A 19711-nucleotide genomic window follows, 5' to 3' on the forward strand; every position below is an offset into this window, starting at 1 on the left:
AATCCAGTGGTAAAAAACAAATGGGAAAGACTGAACTGTGTCTTTGAATGCTGTAGGATGGATATTGTCCAGAAAAAAGCTGTAGGTCAGAATCACTTTCATTTTAGAAGTAAAGAGCTATACCCGATCCCATTCATTTCCCTTGGAGCACTGCTTGTAAACTAGTTGGATACCCAACAGCATTTTCTTTACATGTGCTACAACTAGCAACATGTTCGTTGAATAGGCAGATATTGAATATTTTATTCTTTAGAGACATCAAGATCAGAGAGTATCTAAAAATATATTGTTTTGGGAGTAATTAGGGAAATGATTTTCTCAGCTTTTTTTCTACGCCCTTTATTTCTCATTATTGGGCCTGAAGAATATTTTCCAAGGGCCTTGTTTTATTTTTTCTGGTAGTTCATTCCTAAACATTAAAATGTTTACCAGGTCTCCCTGATGGAGAAGGGATGCCTGATGTCCTCAGACTGCCCCCAGTTTACTGACCAGTGACTTGGCAACTACCTTCTCTTGACTAAAAGTTGGAAAGCAGAGTGGTCATAGATCTAAGCTAGGACATTCAATGCTGTACTTAGCTTCTAGATCACATTTTACAGAACAAATCAGGGGAATACGGGGAGGGAAACAAGCTCTAGCCAGCATTTACCAGACAGGAATTGAAGGTAGCAGCAGTTCCCTCAGCTTCCTGTTTTGTTTCTTCATAGCACTTACTATAGTTTATTGTTACATATTTCTGGATTATAGACCAGTAGCTACCTAAAGGCAAGGATTATTTATAACCTTTTTCTTACTGAAAACAGAGAACTAGTATAGTGCCAACTACATAGTGTGTGTAAAAAGAATAAATGATAGATATTGAATCGGGTTCTGAATCTAGGTACTGCATATCTAAATCTCCCAGCAAATGTCAAGTTGGGGCCACGAAAAAAAGCAGTTTGTGAATGAAATCCCATATAAGAAAACAAGGGAAAATAGGCCAGGGGTGACTAATTTACCCTATTCATGGGATCCTACAGTTGCAGCTGAGAGCAGCAAACAAAAGCTTCTGGTCAGAGGCTTTTTGCTTGTCAGTTAAACTACAAAATGCAGATCTGGTAGAGGCAATTTATATTTCTAGCATAGAAAATGGAACATACAAATAAATTGAAAAAGAACAAAAAAAATTAAAAAGAAAATGGGGGTCAAGCACAGTCGCTCATGACTATAATCCAAGCATTTTGGGAGGCCGAGGCGGGAGGATTGCTTGAGGCCAGGAGTTCGAGACCAGGCTGGGCAACACAGCAAGATCCCATATCTACAAAAAGAATTAAAAATTGGCTGGGTATGATGGTGCATACCTGTAGTCCCTGCTGCTCAGGAGGCTGAGGCAGGAGGATCCCTTGAGCCCAGGAGTTTGAGGCTGTAATGGGCTATGATTGAGCCACTGCACTCCAGCCTGGGCAATAGAGCAAGACCTCATCTGAAAAGAAAATGGGACAGTTTGTAAAGCAATTGAATAAATAAAATGAATACAAAATTATGGATAAAGAAAACAAAATTAATCCAGAGTGAGAATATTATATAAACTCTACGCACTGTGGGGTTTGGGATACTTTCTTGAGATGGGACAGAGTGGTAGTAAGAGAACAAGAATAAGTTCTAGAAAGGTGTTGATTAAAAAAAATCAGGACCCATATTAATTTTCTGTGCTACAAAACAAATTACCACAAATTTAGCAGCTGAGAAACAACATATGCATTCGTTACCTCACAGTGTCATTGGGTCAGGAGTCTGATACAGCCTAGTGGGGTGCTCTGCTCAGAATGTGGCAAGGTTGCAATCAGTGTGTCAGCCAGGCTGCCTTTTTTGAAAAATTCAGTTACTTGTGGGTATAGGACTGAGGTCCGTGGCTTGCTGGCTAAGAGCCAAGGATCATTCTCAACTCATTGAGGCCTCCCTTAGGTCTTGACTTGTAGCTCGTCTCATAACATGGCAACTTACTTCTTTAAAACCAACGGGGGAATCTCCCTGATCTCAGAGAATGCCTCTGGCCTTCTTTGAAAGGGCTCATCTGATTAGGTCAGGACCAGAGAAGAAAAGCTTGCTTTTGATTAGCTCTCAGAAACTTGATTAGGGACGCTGACCCTAATTACATCTACAGAATCCTCTTTGCATATAACGTAATGTAATCATGGGAATGATAGCATATCGTATTTCTGGGTCCCATACAAGGGGAGGGTATTGTACCAGAGCATGAGTCATCTGAGAATTGTGTCTACCACAGGATATTATACTGAAGAGTAAGTTTTTCAGTACATTCTTATTTCTTCTTACAGTCGCTTAGAGAGTTCTTTCCTTTTCAGGGATTTATGCTTCCTCAATGTTAAATTTAAATAAATTATTAATAGATAGTGTCTAGTTTAAAAATTTTATAGTGTTAAGTTCTATTTTATAACCTTTGGTTAGAAATAATTGACTACACATAAATCAATACAAATCTCAGTACTTATTGAAGTCAACTTTTAAATTGAAATAGATGTTTAGGAGACTGTAGACGGATTGCACTGCTGCGGATATAGAGTCAGAGGAGCATATCTGCCTTCAATACCTGTGTAGTAGTGTAGGAGGGATCCTAGATTGATTCTAGTCAAACAAGTAACTATGACTTAAGACGAGCTAAAGTTTTCTGTCATGGGAGAAATTACCAGGTTATTATGTATATACGTGTTAAAGTTTTATTAATCTAGCTCCTCAGCCTTTAACACGCTTCTCAGACACTATGTAGTAGCCTTTACCACAAGATAACAATGCTGACAATAATGCTGCACGTTGAACATCTACTACGTGCAATCACAGACGTTTTAAGATTCTGTCCTCGAGATCACCTTTGTTAGGTAGACAAGCACCATCTCTTTTTAAATGAGGAAACAAAGCCATGTGTTTATGTAAGCTCACTCAGCTGGTAAGCAGTAGACCCAGAGAATTCGAATCCGGAAATTATGACTCTTCCATGTGTGTTTTGTTTTCACTTGTTCTTAACGTGACTTAAATGCTTATAAATATTTGCTTGAAGATGGAAAGGTAATAGTAGAGAAATAGGAATCATGCTGCTAATAAACAAGAAAAATCACAATTTTAAGAGTAATCTTAATTTGTTGGTAGATTTTATAGCACAGTCTCTTTCTAACAAGGTCACCCACAAAAGTTGTCTCACAGCCTAGAGCACTTGTAAGCAAAAGAAAGTTATTTATACATTTTTTTCTCATCTATAGCTTTCTCAAGTAAGAAGTAGAATTTTTTAAACCGACAGAAGTTAGTAATAGAGCTCCAGTTATTTGTCCACAATGCTAAGGAGAACCAAAGGTTTCCAAACTGATGGAATGTGTGATTTGCATATTTCCTCTATTTCAACAGATGCTGCATAGCATTTCTATGCATATATACCTAACACTGGAAATATGTTTTCAAGATTGTAGATTTTAAATATTGTTTAATCAAAACATTATATTTTAATAAAGTACAAGTCATTTAGTTTACTGCCTCCATAATTTCAGTATTTCTTCATTTAATACATTTTTATATTGTTAAATTGAAGTTGAAAGTTACATATGCATGTCTTTTAGAAGAATGTATTTATTGACTTGGTCTTTCCTCAGTGGAGGTACATTTATAGTGTCAGGATCTGCCAGGTAGAAAGATTAGACAGAAATCTAGTGGCATACAAGTATAACAAATGAGAGAAGCCACCTAAGTATCCCAGTAAGAAGAAAAGAACAAAGAAGCCTTCAAGAAGGAGGAATACTAAGCTGCCCTTTAAAGATGAGACAGATTTCAGCAGAAAGAAACACCACGTGTAGAGTCATCCATGTAAAAATGGCAGGCAGGTTTGGGGAGTGGCAGGCAGGTTTGGGGAATGGCAGGCAGGTTTGGGGAATGGCAGGCAGGTTTGGGGAATGGCAGGCAGGTTTGGGGAGTGGCAGGCAGGTTTGGGGAATGGCAGGCAGGTTTGGCTTCATGTGATGCCTGACTGCAACACAAATTGAAGCCTAATCTTAGAGAGCCTTATTATCCACAAACATTTGAGCTTTATTCTGTTGGAATGAAGAACCTATGAAGGGCTTTGATTAAGGGAATAACTGGTCAGTGTAGTTTTAGGAAGTTGTATAAAAGGTGGAATGAAGGTAGGGAAAGGTTGACGGGAGAGAGAGGGTTGTTGTAATAATCTTAATGAGATAATGAGGGTTTGCATTAAGAGAGTGGCTGAAAGGAATGAAAATGAGAAACACTGTGTAATTTATAGAACCTGACGATTGGATGAATAAATAGAGAATGAACAAATAGGGAGGGAGATGGATTCAAGGTTGAATATTAGCCAGGAAGATTTCCAGGTTTAAGGAGATTAAGAGTTTACTTTTAGATATTAATTATTAGGCTCTTTTGGGGCAACTCATGAACAAATTTCATGGAACAAATTTCATAAACAATTTCCTAAAAATCTATAGAACCATACTTTTAGATTATAAAGCTAAAATATAGCCAAATAGTTTTTTTCACCACAGCATACTTTTTATGTTACCAAAACAGTTTGATCTCAAGTATATCAAGTTCTAGTTTTGAGTCCATGATCTGAAATATTCATATTTAATAATATGCACTTACATATACAAATACATATATAATTATGGTATAGTTTCTAGAAATTGTGTTTTAAATATAGTGTTAATACTTAAGTAACATGTTTCATGTTTATCTTACTGTACACTTTAGCTACATCTTTTGCTATTTCTAATTGGAATTTCAACAAAGAAAGATTTTTCCCCCTCTGAGAGATTTCAGTATCATTTTGTCTAATTGTACCTTATGTTAAGGTACCACATTATAAGCTTCTTTGGAATAATAAAATAGTAATGCAAACACCCTCTTAAGCAGCTCTGAGTTGTTATGCCATTATAGTTTGGTGACATTCTGCTCACTATAGATGGGTGAATGAGAAAGGCTAACGTTAAGATGGGTTTCTTTTATACTCCTTCATAAAAACATTACTATTATGTCATTTAGCAAAATGTTTATGCTATTAAAAATTCAAAATGTAAGGAGTTTAGTGCATTTCTACCTCAACATTAGAAACAGGACTTTTCAACAATCAATCAAGTGCATAAAACTGAGCGAGTTTGTTTGCACGCTATTTATTTGAACTAAATCTCTAACAAGCCTCGTCTGCTAATTGGACTTAACATTTATGTTGCTAAATGAGAAGCATTTTGGCTGCTATATAGGATGGTAAGACCTACCCAGTGGAATAAACAGCTAACATCTGTTATCTTGTCCTGCTCCAGCTTGGCTTTTCCCAGTTAAGTACTACATCAGCTCTGAAGTCAAGGTTATCAAATATGTGAATGTCTGGCTCACCCATGTATGTGTGAAGGTAAAGAAATAGTGCATCATGAGTCAGGACCAGCCAACCAAAAGATATTGAGTATAGCTGGTTCACTTTGTTTTACCTTTGCAAGCCATACTACTATAAGCAAAATCTAGTAGAGGTTAAGATTTTTGTAAAGTTTGTATAATAACTATAATTAATTTCAGTTCTCTTTAATATTTTCCTAGCTGTAGAATTTTATGCTGATAATTGTTAGATTAAATATAGTTACTTTTAAAATATATTTATATTTATTTTCTTTTTTTAAAAAAAAGAAGCTAAATTTGGATTTGGCTGGGCTTCGGAAAGAAAAAGAAGATTTACTAAAGAAATTGGAGTCCTCATCTGAAATCACAAGTTTGGCAGAAGAAAATTCCCAGGTAACATTTCCACGGATACAAGTTACATCACTTAGTCCTTCAAGGAGCATGGATTTGGAAATGAAGCAATTGCAGTATAAACTAAAGGTGATTATAAAATTTATTAAGCATGAAAACATACATTATGCTTGAATCCTGCAAGACATATTTATATGAACACTAATTTATTCTAATAAAGGTAAATTATGTTATAGATAATCCAAAAAATTATTAATATTGCCTTCATCATTAATTTTTAGCCTGGTAGATTCTTATCTGGTAATCAATACTACCATTCTCTGAAAAAGACAAGATACCATGAAATCCTAATTTAGGAGCTGATTTAAACTGGCCAATATCTGCTACTCTAATACTTCTTTCTGCCCCCATGCCTCCCTCCAGCTGAACAGAATCCTTTCAGGCATGTAATGCGTCAACATAAACAGAATTGCTTTTCTCTACATACTTCCAGCAAGTTAAACTTGAGAATGAAACCAACCCACTTTTGCTCTCTGCTTCTTCTCCCTCCCATTTATCTCCTCCTTCTCTGTCTCCAACCAACAACCAACTTAAAATAGTAGGAAGTATGTAGAGAAAAAGCAATGAGAGGAGAGAAAAAAAAAAAAAGAATCTAAGACCAAGCGAAACTGTCAGCAACTTAAAAGTAAGGCTGTCCTTAGTTTAAATAGAATTACTTTGTAAGAAATAGGATTTGTGAGTGATCCTCACACTTAATTGGAAAGTTCATTTTCATGCTTCTTAAGCCCATTTATTCCTCACATATTTAATTATTTTCTTCAGTGGGGATTGCTAGCTAGAAGCTAAAAAGAGCAGTATATATGGGACCATTGCTATAATGTGAGTCACTAGAAAGAAAATCCTGATTGTAAATGCACAGAGTACATTAGAAATGGAATAATCATCCCTGTTAGGAGGGTATTGGAATACTATGTTGAATTGTCAAATAGACTCATCATTGTTTTCGGTCCCAAATAGGATATGTGCACCCTTCAATAATACATCTTTTAGTGCAGATTTACTCATAGGATAAATAGGCTAAAATTTAAAATGAATGAGTTTATTATTGCTTGAAAATAATTTGCTTTATTAATAGTAACCAAATATACAAACTAGCATTGGGATTCTTCTTGAATACCATCTTCTTTAGTCAATTTATGTGTATAACTTGGGTCAGTCACAACATTTTATAATCTTAAATAACTTATAAAATATTAGAAATGTGAAGGAAGAAGTGTTGTGCAATTTCGGGGCATGAATCCTAAAATGTGTCTCTGAAAATGTGGGATAAAATGTGTAAACTGAACATTTCAGTGTTAAGGTTTCATATAGAGAAGATAAAATCATTGAGCTATTCCTTGATCTTATCTATCACATAGACTTTAATTCTTACTTCTGTGATTCTTCATATATTTAAGTCCTCATGATTCTGATATAACTTTGTTTTTCACCAAGATAAAATAGAGTGCTAGGTCCAGTATTGTCTAATCTGACTTCTAAAAGACATAAATAGTTTTAAGTTGATTTATACATAAATCATAATTTATAATTTTTACATAAACAGTTTTTAGTTGATTTATATTTTACTTATTTTACTTACTACAAATGGTCTAATAATTTTTGGTAATAATAGATCCATATGAGTGTCTGTAAGTTCTTTGCATTATGGTTTTCCATGGTATAAGTTTTTACCCCACATACAAATCTCTCTCTTGCTTTGGAGGAATGTGTGAGTCAGAAAGAGAACTAAAGCAATTAGTGTGAAGTGATTGTCCATAATCTAACATAGAGTCTTGGAACACTGACCAAACTGTATAGGGACAAAAAGGATAAGTTTTTACTTTTGTCTTGTTTCATGTTTTCACATAGAAATTTCCTAGAAGACCAAGTACCTTTAAGTACATAATATTGTCTACTACTAAAAATTTTTGTTTTGATGCTGGTTTGTAGAGATTCCGTAACAAAATACCACAGACTGGTTATCTTAAATAGCAAACGTATATATTATTCTCACAGTTCTGAAGGCTGGAAGTCTAAGATCAAGGTGTCAACAGTTTTCATTTCTTTTGAGGCCTCTCTCCTTGGTTTGTAGATGGCTGTCTTCTGCCTGTGTCTTTACATGGTCTTCCTTCTATGTGTCTGTGTCCTAATTTCCCTTTTTATAAAGGCACCACTCAGACTGAATTAGATTCCACCCTAATAACCTCATTTTACCTGAATTATCTGTTTAAAGGCCTTATCTCCAAATACAGTCACATTCTAAAGTACTGAGGGTTCGGTGAGAACTTCTACATACTAATTTGTTTAGGGGAAACAGAATTTAGCACATAACAGATATCAAACTGCTAATATAGTGATTTTCTAATAAGTAGCTTATTTTCTACTTAATGTTTTTAGACTTAATTGAGAAAATTGGCTAGATTCGAATATACTAAAAGTTTATATACATCTTTTCTATACTATCCAGTTAATATTAGACTTTTCTGTGTAATTTTACATATACTTTTCTGATGTCTCTGGTTCATTTACAGTTGAGAAAACTGAGACACAGAAAGAATAAGTTACTTGTCCGAGATCACACAAGTACTGTACATAGAGCCGAGATGAGAACTCAAACCATCTGGCTCCATAGTCCATGCTCCTAATTACTATACTATGCAAATTTTAAAAAAATATTCAATAAACTTAGTATAGGAAAGCTGTAACAGGGATGACTTTTTACCATTGTGACATTTTTGATGTGTGTGTTTCACATCATACATCAAAGGATGTATTACAAGGAAATTACCAGATTTTAAGTTATGTTACAGATATATATTGTATAGTAGGGAATGGAAAAGGGACAAAGGAGCTGGGTTTCGATCACTTTTTGGCCATTAACTTCTCGTCAACCTGGTCAAGGAAATTACTTAACTTCTCTAGAGGTCTAAAGCAGGGATACCTTTCTACCCATCTGATAAAAATTTTTGAGGATCAAATGAAATAGCTGTTAGATTTAGAGATCTTGGCCAAAGTGTATCTCAACCTGGCATTGTTTTATTTATTATAAATTGCTTTTCTCTCAATTCTCCAAGTCAGAGTTAACAGCATTTTCAGCCACATAATACAGCCTTAAGTCTAAAAACAGAAAAGAATCAACTAGTTATCTTAATATCTACTTAACTCATTGCATTGAAGATACTGTCAGGCTTTATTTACTGCCTGTATCTTTTATTTTAAATACAATTCTAAGTTTATTTTACTTCTCAGCAGAAAACACCTTCAGTGCAGCACACTAGAAGTATGCGTATTAAGGGGTAGGATGATTGTTTTTAGGCAGGAATAATGACACAGAAGCAAAAAATTACAAACAAAAGATTGACAGAGAAAAAAAGGCAATATGAAAATGTTAAGGTAAATACAAAATTAGAAAAGCACAGTCTGGGACCATTTAGAGGAGCGATAAGTAGACGTTTATATCACAGTAGTCCCTAAAGCCATCACTATATTATAGTATAGTGATAATATAATACATATTAGTATATCATATATAATTTATAGTGATAATATTTATGATATGATATCACTATATTAACATATCACTATTAGCTTAGCATAATCATGGGTGTCCGTATTTCTAACTGAATGAACAATCATCAGAGAAAGAATTGAAAATTAATGATTGAAGCAAACGCTTCAATTATTTGATAAATTGACTAGTGTGACTAGTGTGGAACATGTTATTCAGGCAGTGCTGGAAATAAGACACAATACATCACTGTAAACGTGCAAAATATGGTAGAAATTTTGATTACATTACACACACATTTGATCAAAACATAACATTCAAAAGAGTTACCATGTTGAGGTAGCTTTGGGTTTTTAAGAAAAATTAATGTTTCATGTAAAAATTAAAATTATTTCAAATGTTTTATTTGTATGTTATACCCATGAGATATTTAAAGTCAGTCTGATGAATTACATTTACCTTGGGTAATTAATAGTTTAATCTTTTCAAATTCAAATTATTTTTAGCATGAGTCAAACATCCAAACCTAGGAATAGTTCTAATAGAAAAAATTTATTGTAGTTTAGAAATATTAGCTAAATAACTACTCCAAATATTTTAAAAGCTATTATATTTTATTATATTTATATTCATTTAATACCTTTAAAACTTAACAAATGGATTAATGTGAGTATGTCAACACTATCTTGAGTGTGGAAAAACTAAATACCAAAAAGACTAAGTGATGTCTTAGATTACACATTTAGTTGGAACTAGAGTCAAAATTGAAAGGTGTTCTAACACTCTAGTTACCACCTCTGGTTCCTAGGCTCTACTGACAACAAATACCACAGAACAAACATGTTTTGCTTTGAAAAACTAATAATTATTTACAAATAATGTAATAAGTAGCATTATTAATAACTTCAAGTAAAGAAGGATTGAGTATTCATGAGGTTTTCTATCAGTTACCATTATTCTCTAACAAACTATCCCGAAACATCGTGGCTTAAAACAACAGTTTATTATTTCTTAAGATTTTGTGGGTTGACTGGGAAGTTCTTTTGCTGGTCTCTTCTGGGCTACCTCATATCCCTGGATTTTTTCAAACCAAAGATTTCCCTAGTTGGAAGATACAAAATAGCCTCACTCATAGATCGGACAATTGGTCTACTACCTGTCAGCTGGAGTACCTTGGTACACTTCCACATGATACATCAACTGTATTCCTAGCAAGGTGATCCTGGAGCAGCATTCCAAGAAGGGAAAGAGAGAAGCCACAAAGCTTTAAGGCCTGGGAACTGAAATTTACACAATTCATTTCTGCTGCATTCTTTTCGACAAAGCAAGTCACAAGCCAGACTACGTTCAGTGGGTTAGGAAATGGATTCCCCTGCTTGATGAGCAGCAAAGCATTTGTGACCATATTTCGTCTAAGATGTTAGTAAATCCAGTATTTGTTTTAAGTGATCTTCTTAAATCATTAAAATTCTTAATTATTCACATATTTACATTATACCAGGACAACTCATATTTCCTGTAAATGTATTTTGGATACATACTCTTTGCAATTCTTAAATGATTGTGTTCCTCTATAGTTTGGCATGTTATATAAAAGTTTTAGTATTATTATTTCTATTACAGCATATAAAATAAAGCATTTAAAATATTAAAATATTCATTTTAATTATTGTTTACCATAATTATTGTAGAGGTATTCTTCTTTAGAATGGCACTTATTTTTATGCTGCCTTAGACCAAGGTTGTAAGGTATATTTAAATTTATTTCTATTTTTAATCTAGAATGCTACTAATGAACTCACTAAACAGTCATCAAATGTGAAGACTTTGAAATTTGAACTCCTAGCAAAAGAAGAACACATAAAGGAAATGCATGAAAAGTATGGTTTTTGTATTTCTATCCATTGTATTTGGTGCCACCTAGTGGCAACCAGCTCTATTAAACGTGCTCCAAGAAACTGCTAATGTTTACGTTTTCCTTCCCTAGTTCATATTTAAACCTACCTAAGATGAAAGTTTAAGGAATACTATGTATAGCATGATTAATGGCAAGCTATTTACTTTTTTAAATTAGATAATGATGAAGTTAAATTTCCGTTATTAAACATATTTAATTTTGAATAAATACAAATTAATGGCTTCGAGACAATGAATGAAAAACTTTACAACGTGGTGGTTATTTGGCCCCCCAAATATATGATTAGTATTTGTATTGGATTTAATGCCTAAGCTTATAAAGCTAAGGTAAAAAAAGGAAAGTTTTGTTTGTGTTTAAAATAACTGGAGGTTATGGAAGTTTGTACTCTTGTGTTTATCAGTACAAAGATTTTAAATGCTCTATCCCACTGAATCAAAATTATTTTCTTTCTGTATCTTTCAAAGCTACACTATTGCTTAGAAATAGTAAGATGTTTAGATAGAATTCCAGTTGTCACTGATACATTTGAGATATATGTATCTCACAAACACACCTGTAGACCTCATTATAAGTGAAGAGCACTTAAAAGTGATATGAATAGATAAAAGCATTAGACAAAAAGCTTGGTTAATTTTTTAACTGATAATATTTTGAAGTTTATTTATCAATTAAGAGTAAGTCTTGCTTATTGTTTAACAGGGCTCTAGATTAACACTCTTTGAATCCTGGCTTCCCTACCTACTAGGCCTATGCCTAAATTTAATAATATTAAATTAGGTTCTTACGAGGAATAAATGAGTTAATACATGTAAAGCACTTATAACAGTGACTGGAACATTGTAAGCCTTCGATACATGTTAGCTATTGTCATTCTTGTTTTAGTAGTAGCAGCAGCAGCAGCAGCAGTAGCAGTGGTTCTCACAGCATCTACCATTTTATACTTAATAGTTCATCAACTTATGCTAAACAGCTGTGTGGATTGAATCTCAAATTATATTAAATTAGAAGATATTATGGCTAATTTAGTTTCATTACAAGAGTTTGCATTTGTTTATTGAAGTATAAGATTTTTTTCTTATCATTTTTATGCTTTTGATTATCTTCATATATCACTTTGATTTTTCACAGCAATGTAAAAATGTAATTTAAATGAAATAGTTCTAAGTTTTCATAAGTGTTATTAATTTTTCTCATTTCTTATATATTTTGTTTTAATACATATATGTAATTATATAATTACCAAGTCACAACTATAGATTTTACAAGTGTTCAAAATATTAAAAGAACAATATCTTATGCAGTGCAATTCATTTTACTGATTTACAGTGTCAATATCACGTAGCATTTAAAAAGTAACAGTAGGTATAATATTGGATAAAATGTAAGATATCACCACTGTTAAGGTATTTTCTGTCACTCTTGATGTCACCTTTTTTTTTTTCAAGGATATCTCGAATGGAGAGGGATATAACTATGAAAAGACATTTGATAGAGGACTTGAAATTTCGACAGAAAGTAAATTTGGAAAGTAACAAGAGTTTTAGTGAAATGTTACAAAATCTTGATAAAAAGGTATCAATTTTTATCTTTACTGACACTAAAAATATCACTTCCTGTTGTAATTACTCTCTTACCACAAACATTTAATCCTAATAAATGTATAGAAAATATTGATAGGATATGTATTTACTGTTACAAAGTAACACTCTTTGCTCTGAAAGTACATTATTTATTTTAAAATTCAATTCTCTAAAACCTCATACATAATATGGCCACACATTCTGTTTCTATTTATAAATATCCCATGAGAAGATTAAAAATCCTCAATATTTCTAGGATACATAATTACATTTTATTCAGTATTTTATTTAAAACTGTAATTTATGATAGAATCAAGCTTATATTTCTTAGTGAAAACTTGATTACCTATAACTATCAGAAGTTCTTTAAAAATGTACTTTCTTCTTGGATACCCTTAATGAATTTTACATGGGAATGGAGTTGTACATGCAAAGGGAGTTGTAGTTAAAGTAGTTACGTAATATATGACCCAAAGTAGAAGGGTTTTTTTTGTTTTTTTTTTTTTGAAGGTGCTTTTTTCACAACTCATAAAGCACCCTGTGCTTTGGCATTCACTAAATGTTATCCACACCTGAGAGAACATCTCCTTTACTTTCCTTGTTGAAAATGAAAATTTAAGTATCTCTTAGGTCAAATTGATTTAAGAAAGAAACTTTTACATGAGCATGACAAATCCATATGGATTTTCTTTCTCTTCTCTTCCACACATCTGTGCAAGTTAAAATCACTTCCTATAGGCTTTTTCAATGTTATCCTTTCAATTTTGCTATTTTTTAACTTCAATAATAATTTCATACATAGCCTTGGAATCTTTATATAAATAACATATATCTTTAGTGGCATTAAACTGAAAAACTATTTTTTCTGTTATGCTTTGAGTTACATACACATATTATAATCTTATAAATAAGCTATATATATATATAAAATATCCTATTGTTTTATTTCATCCAAAAAAAGGTATGTAATAGTTATTTTAGAGAATACAATGGAAAGTTACCTTTAACTTGGCTTGTTTCAGAGTCAAAACAATCATCTCCTGCCTTAGGAAGTTTAGATTAGTAATTAATGGATATGTAGTGAACATTAATATTGTGTTATTGGGTGCAAGAATAAACATACCAGTATTCATTTAGTTTGTGTGCAATTTTAGTTTTTGTTACTGATTTAAGGATTGTTACTTTCATTCATAATATGAGTTCTGTAAGTATAATACTTGAATTTGATAGCGTTATGAGAAAATAAATGGAAGTAGACTCATTCACTCATTTAGTTTCTGTTGGAACAAACACAGTATATTACTAGAATGCCTTCAACAATAATAATTACCTTTATGCTTTTAATGTAGGTAAAGACATTAACTGAAGAATGTTCCAACAAGAAGGTATCAATTGATTCACTAAAGCAAAGACTTAACGTTGCTGTAAAAGAAAAGTCACAGTATGAACAGATGTATCAGAAATCTAAAGAGGAGTTAGAAAAAAAGGTATGCTTTTAAAAAGGGCATTTTAGATTACAGATGGAATATAATCGTGTTTGTTTCATTTTTAACATTGTTGCTTTTTCCTTCCCAAAACCACAAGCTACTTAAACACTTCAGATAAGTGCAAAGAGGATTTGTATCTCTACATGAAACGCCAAACATTGGTTTAACATTAAAGATATTTCTGTATTAGAGAAAACAGGTTGTGTTTGTCTTGATAGTTTTTAAGAAATGAAAACTATTATTGAACACTGGTATTTATACAAGTAGATCTAAATTTTGTAGGCCCACTTAAACTTTCAAACTAAATGTTTCCATGTTATGTGGAGGATCTTTTGGTCTAAAATAGCTTCCATGCTTTTAATTATTTGTAATCTTTAAAAATCATAAACTAATTTAGATGATAAGTATATGAGAATATGTACTTAGGATGTTTTATTGAAAGTTAATGAAAATAATCATTAATTTTACCCAAATAATAAATACATAGAGAGAATAATAAAATATTTTCCTTATTTGACATGTATAACTAACTCTTCCAAATCTGTTTATAAAATATCTTTTATTTTATGACTGCTGATCTTTTGCAGGATCTCAAGCTTACTCTCCTAGTATCAAGAATAAGTGAGACTGAATCTGCAATGGCAGAAATTGAAACAGCAGCATCTAAGCAGCTTCAAGAATTAGCATTGCAAAGTGAACAGGTCCTAGAAGGTGCACAGAAGACATTGCTGTTAGCCAATGAAAAAGTAGAAGAGTTCACCACATTTGTGAAGGTTTGAATTACTTGTCGTTTACTAACTTGTACTTTACTTTAGGCAGATAGGCAGTAGCCTACTTGAGATGATTTGGGGAATAAAGTTTCTTTCTGCTTTCCTAACACAGAAAGCATCTTCTTCTACCCTATTTATCACATTGCTAATAATTCCTCCATAAAGAATTTATTTTTATAGTTTGAATTTAAAATTTTCTACCATCTTATTAATATTTCTTTCTTAATGTCAATTTAGTTATGAAATTGTAGTAGTCAAGTCATCTGGACAGGTTTTAAGTTGAAAGAATTAAGCTGTTCCCACCCTACTCTCCTTTTGAAAATCGTTCAAGCAGGAACAACCAGAAACTTGCTCAGTGTTCAGTGATGCTAAGAGACATCTGAATCCCAGGCCACAAACTATCAAGACATGGAATAGACAGAGGAATGGCACATGACAAACAGAACAAAGAGAAGACAAACTCAAGTATCTGCAGAGGTGTACCATCTAGAAATTATCTAAAAGCTGAAGAGCCCTAGAAAGCCTTCATTCCCCTAGACATAGAAGTTAATAACATTTTATGCCACTATTGAGTACTCCACGAAGAGGAAATTCCTTACTTTGCTTCTTTGGAAATCATAGATACCTTGGGAGTTTTCTCATTTTAAAAATATCTGCAAAATGAATTGATAAAACATTTTATCTCCTTTATCTCTTTTAATGAATATTTCAACTGGTGTGAAGTCAAGCCAATAATGCCTGCCTCTGAGGATCCTAAATGATTGCAAAGTATTAATTTTAGTAAATGTAATTTACCTTTTCCAGATTCAAAACACTATTTTTTGTAAATGCTTGTTGAATAGTTTCACTGTTTAACTTATAGTGAACACTTTCATTAAATATTGTGACTTATACCCTGCTGGTGGGAATGTAAATTAGTTCAGCCACTGTGGAAAGCAGTTTGGAAATTCTCAAAAAGTGAAAAACAGAACTACCATTTGACCCAGCAATCCCATTATTGGGTACATAACCAAAATAATATAAATCCTTCTACCATAAAGACACATGCATGCGTATGTTCATTGCGGCACTGTTAACAATAGCAAAGATATGGAAGCAACCTAAATGCCCATAAACAATAGACTGGATTAAGAAATTGTAGTACATACACACCATAGGATACTACACAGCCATAGAAAAGAATGAGATCAAGTCCTTTGCAGCAACTTGAATGGAGCTGGAGGCCATTATCCTAAGTGAACTAACACACAAAGGAAAAACCAACACCACATGTTCTCACTTATAAGTGGAACCTAAACATTGAGTACACATGGACACAAAGAAGGCAACAATAGACATCGGGGCCTACTTGAGGGTGAGGGTGGGAGGAGGATGAGAACTGAAAAACTACCTATTGGGTACTATGTTTATTACCTGGGTGATGAAATAGTATGTACATGAAACCCCTGCAACACAAAATTTATCTACAGAACCAACCTGCACATGTATCCCTGAAACTAAAATTAAAGTTATATATATATATAGTCATTATTTTACTCATGATGTAGAACCATTTTTATTATGAGTATTACCTTCATAAATCTTGGTTTTTGTTTTATATTCAACTTAGCATTTTGTTTGTGGAGCTTTTGGCTAAGATATAAAATATGAAATATATAATTATGAGATTTATTCAAAATGCTAATCATTGTTTTTCCTTGAAACATTCTTTGAATGTGGCACTTTAAAAAAGAAGGATGAATGAGAATCAGAAGTTTTCAAAATAGAAAAATTAATTTCATGACTGTATATCTGATTATCATATACTTGAAGTTTCATGACTTCCATGATAAGGTAATGGGTATATTTCTCCATACAAAGTAGTTCAGCAAAAATTATCTTTAAGAAACTTTTTCTTTATATCCAATGATATAAATAGTATTTAATGATGAAGTGGGTATCTAAACTCTAATTATTCAAGGGTAATGTTAGTCCTTCATATTGTTCAGCAACAGTGATATTGAGTAGATGTCTTAATAGATGAATTCAGGATTGCTGTGTTTTCACGACTTTTTAATTTGAATAATGTTTCAAAGATTATATAATAGGGAAAGATGATAAATATGGACAGGCTGTCTTCGGTACTCTTTCAGAATTTTTACACTTTGTTTCAGGTTTAAATTACCTTCATCAGAATCCTGTTTCTACTGCATTTAAATATAATACACAATATTGGGCCCCAAATCTATTGAATCAAAATCCTGTCTGGAGTGGAGCCTAATCTGCATTTTACAAGTTAACGAAGTGATTATTATACATAATAAAGTTTTAGAAGCACTTCCTTACATTGTTTTTAAGAATTGAATTCAAATAACAATACATATCAGTTTGACATTTAGTAAGACCATTTATAACTCATGACTTCCAATGGCAATTTGACATTTGTTTTTCTTAACCGTGTCTTAGTGCCAACATATAGTTGCTATTGGTACCATGTCTGCTGTATAACCTATTTTTCAAATATAGGGCCACCAGCAAATTAATAGCCAAAACCATATATTGATGGCAGAGACTGGATATTTGGGTCTTAAGAAAGGCATGATTATCATCTTTCTTGTCCTTGCACATATGGCCCTAGGTCTAGGCAGAAATGCTTAGGACCCACCATCTGAAGCAGCATATCATCAATGACTCCTTAACTACTACCACATTAGGTGCGTTAGATCAATGCTTCCTCCTTTTTAAATACTTAAGACCTTCCATAGCTGGGTGTTATTCTGCTGAAGTCTAATCTTCTTTCCCACTACTCTTTCACCCATATTGTGCTTACTCCTGCCTTTGCTCAAGTTTTCTTTTCACCCAAAATGCCTTCCCCTCTTTGTTCTCTCCTTCAGATTTAACTCTGGGCCTTTCTCTGTCATGAATCTGTCCTTTAACTCTGTAGTTAAGAGGATAGAGCTCAACTCTGCCATTTACTGGCTCTCTGACTTCAGGATCGTGACTGATTCCTTGTGCCTCAGTTTCCTTATCTGTAGAATGAGTTTAATAATGGAACATAAGCGAAGTGAGAATTTAAGTAAGTTACAATAGCTAAAGATCAGAACAGTGGCTAATTGCTATCTCAATATCAACTATTATTATCAGTAGTAGTAATAGCAGTAGTAGTATGGCTCTGACTCGTCTCCTGAACATTTATTATATGTACATTAACACAGTTGTAAACTTGTATTTTTCTTTCTGTTTCAAGTAGATTAAAGCCAACTTGAGGAAAGGAACGTTGTCATTTGTTGTCTTCAGGGTATTGTTACATAACAGGGCTCAGTAAATTCTTGAGGAATTGATTTACGTCTGCTTCAAGAATAGTACTGGACTTATAGTCACTGCTCAAATGGAAAACTCTGTGAACAGTGAGAACTATGTGCATTCCTTAATGAGCGTAGTTAAGGAATGCACATGGTACCTACATGGAACATTATGATCACCAGGACTCATTCTATGCAGAGCTTATTAGGGTATCATGTACACAAAAGTACTTAATAAATATTATTAGTAGTATTAATAGTAATAATGTTTGTTCTGGCCCTGTTGTGGAATCTATGTTCCCTTTAGTCTTTTCATTTATTCATAGGGCGCAACCAGATTATGGTAGAGGTGGAGTGGCCATCTGTTCTAGATCTAGTCTTGAATATGGAATTTGGCCCTGGGGTGAAATCAAGTACTTTGAGCATCTGGGCTGGATATATGTGGCAGAGCTGAGGCTTTGAATTCTCCTAATAACTGAATAAAACACACAAGGGAAATTTCTAGAAGTATTTGCTCAGTTTGACTCAGCCCTGATACAGGCTTGTTAATGTGCCTGTATGTGAGAGTCATTTGCCAAGCTCCATCTTTTCAGTGGATTTTGTTAGCTATGAAATAAATACCAGCCAAAAAAACAGTATTTAGCTGGAAGCATAAATGGTTTCATTATCAATATGTACTTGCTTTGGTAAGATTTAGTAAGATGCTTTTGGTATATAAATTTCTTGCTTCTTTAGTGAATACATTTGTGGAGCATTAGAATTTTAATTTTACACATACAATTGTTAATACCTTGGCACTGTTAATTAAGATTTATAAACAGGTCTATGATACAATTCAAGTTGAATTAACTCTTTTCACCCTGTCATTATACTGAAAAAGGAAATGACAGCTGTGTTTAGAGAAAAGTTTCATAATAAAAATACATTTCCTTATTTGGAAAACTTTATGTAAATTATATCTCAATAAAGCTGTTTAAAAACCTGTTTTTTAAAAATTCATTTTTTATCCCAAAAACCATGATGGGAAGAGTGACTCCAGAGTCTTTCAGCCACGAATTTTTGCCTTCCTCACAATGTAATCTTACTGAAAAAAGTCCAAGCAATCCATAATGATTCGATGAAACTAAAAATGACATGTATCGCAGACAAAGACTCAAAGAGTGGAAAACTAAATCTAATAAGGCAGAAGTGGGATCGTGTACTATATTTTCCACAAACATTATTGGTGGCTGGTTACAATAAATTATAGTAATTGAAAAGTAAAGTAAATTGATATGTATGTCTAAAAACCATTCATATTTTGACAATATCCTCAGATATTGGGATAATTCCTAGCTCATGATATCCCAAGAATTGCAAGAAGGCTGACATCAGTTTTTGGAAATTCAG

General features: G+C 33.0%; 1 protein-coding gene across 18 annotated transcripts in view; it reads left to right on the plus strand.

Annotated features, from left to right (window-relative positions):
• CNTLN (centlein) overlaps positions 1 to 19711 on the plus strand; it is a 393595-nt gene that overhangs the window by 316808 nt on the left and 57076 nt on the right. For 14 of the 18 annotated variants that reach the window (XR_007061321.1, XR_007061322.1, XM_017014839.2 and 11 more), the window contains 5 exons: positions 5677 to 5868; positions 11069 to 11166; positions 12650 to 12776; positions 14134 to 14271; positions 14859 to 15044. Coding sequence is in view for 15 of the 18 variants with exons in the window: in XM_017014839.2 (XP_016870328.1) it covers positions 5677 to 5868; positions 11069 to 11166; positions 12650 to 12776; positions 14134 to 14271; positions 14859 to 15044 (741 nt within the window). In the remaining 3 variants the exon portion in view is untranslated. Of the gene's footprint in view, positions 1 to 5676; positions 5869 to 11068; positions 11167 to 12649; positions 12777 to 14133; positions 14272 to 14858; positions 15045 to 15375; positions 19305 to 19711 lie in introns of those variants that run through there. The other 4 variants (XM_024447583.2, XM_047423521.1, XR_929282.3 and 1 more) reach the window with 3 other exon arrangements.

This window comes from Homo sapiens, chromosome 9, assembly GCF_000001405.40.
Source record: "Homo sapiens chromosome 9, GRCh38.p14 Primary Assembly".
Taxonomy (NCBI): Eukaryota; Metazoa; Chordata; class Mammalia; order Primates; family Hominidae; genus Homo; species Homo sapiens.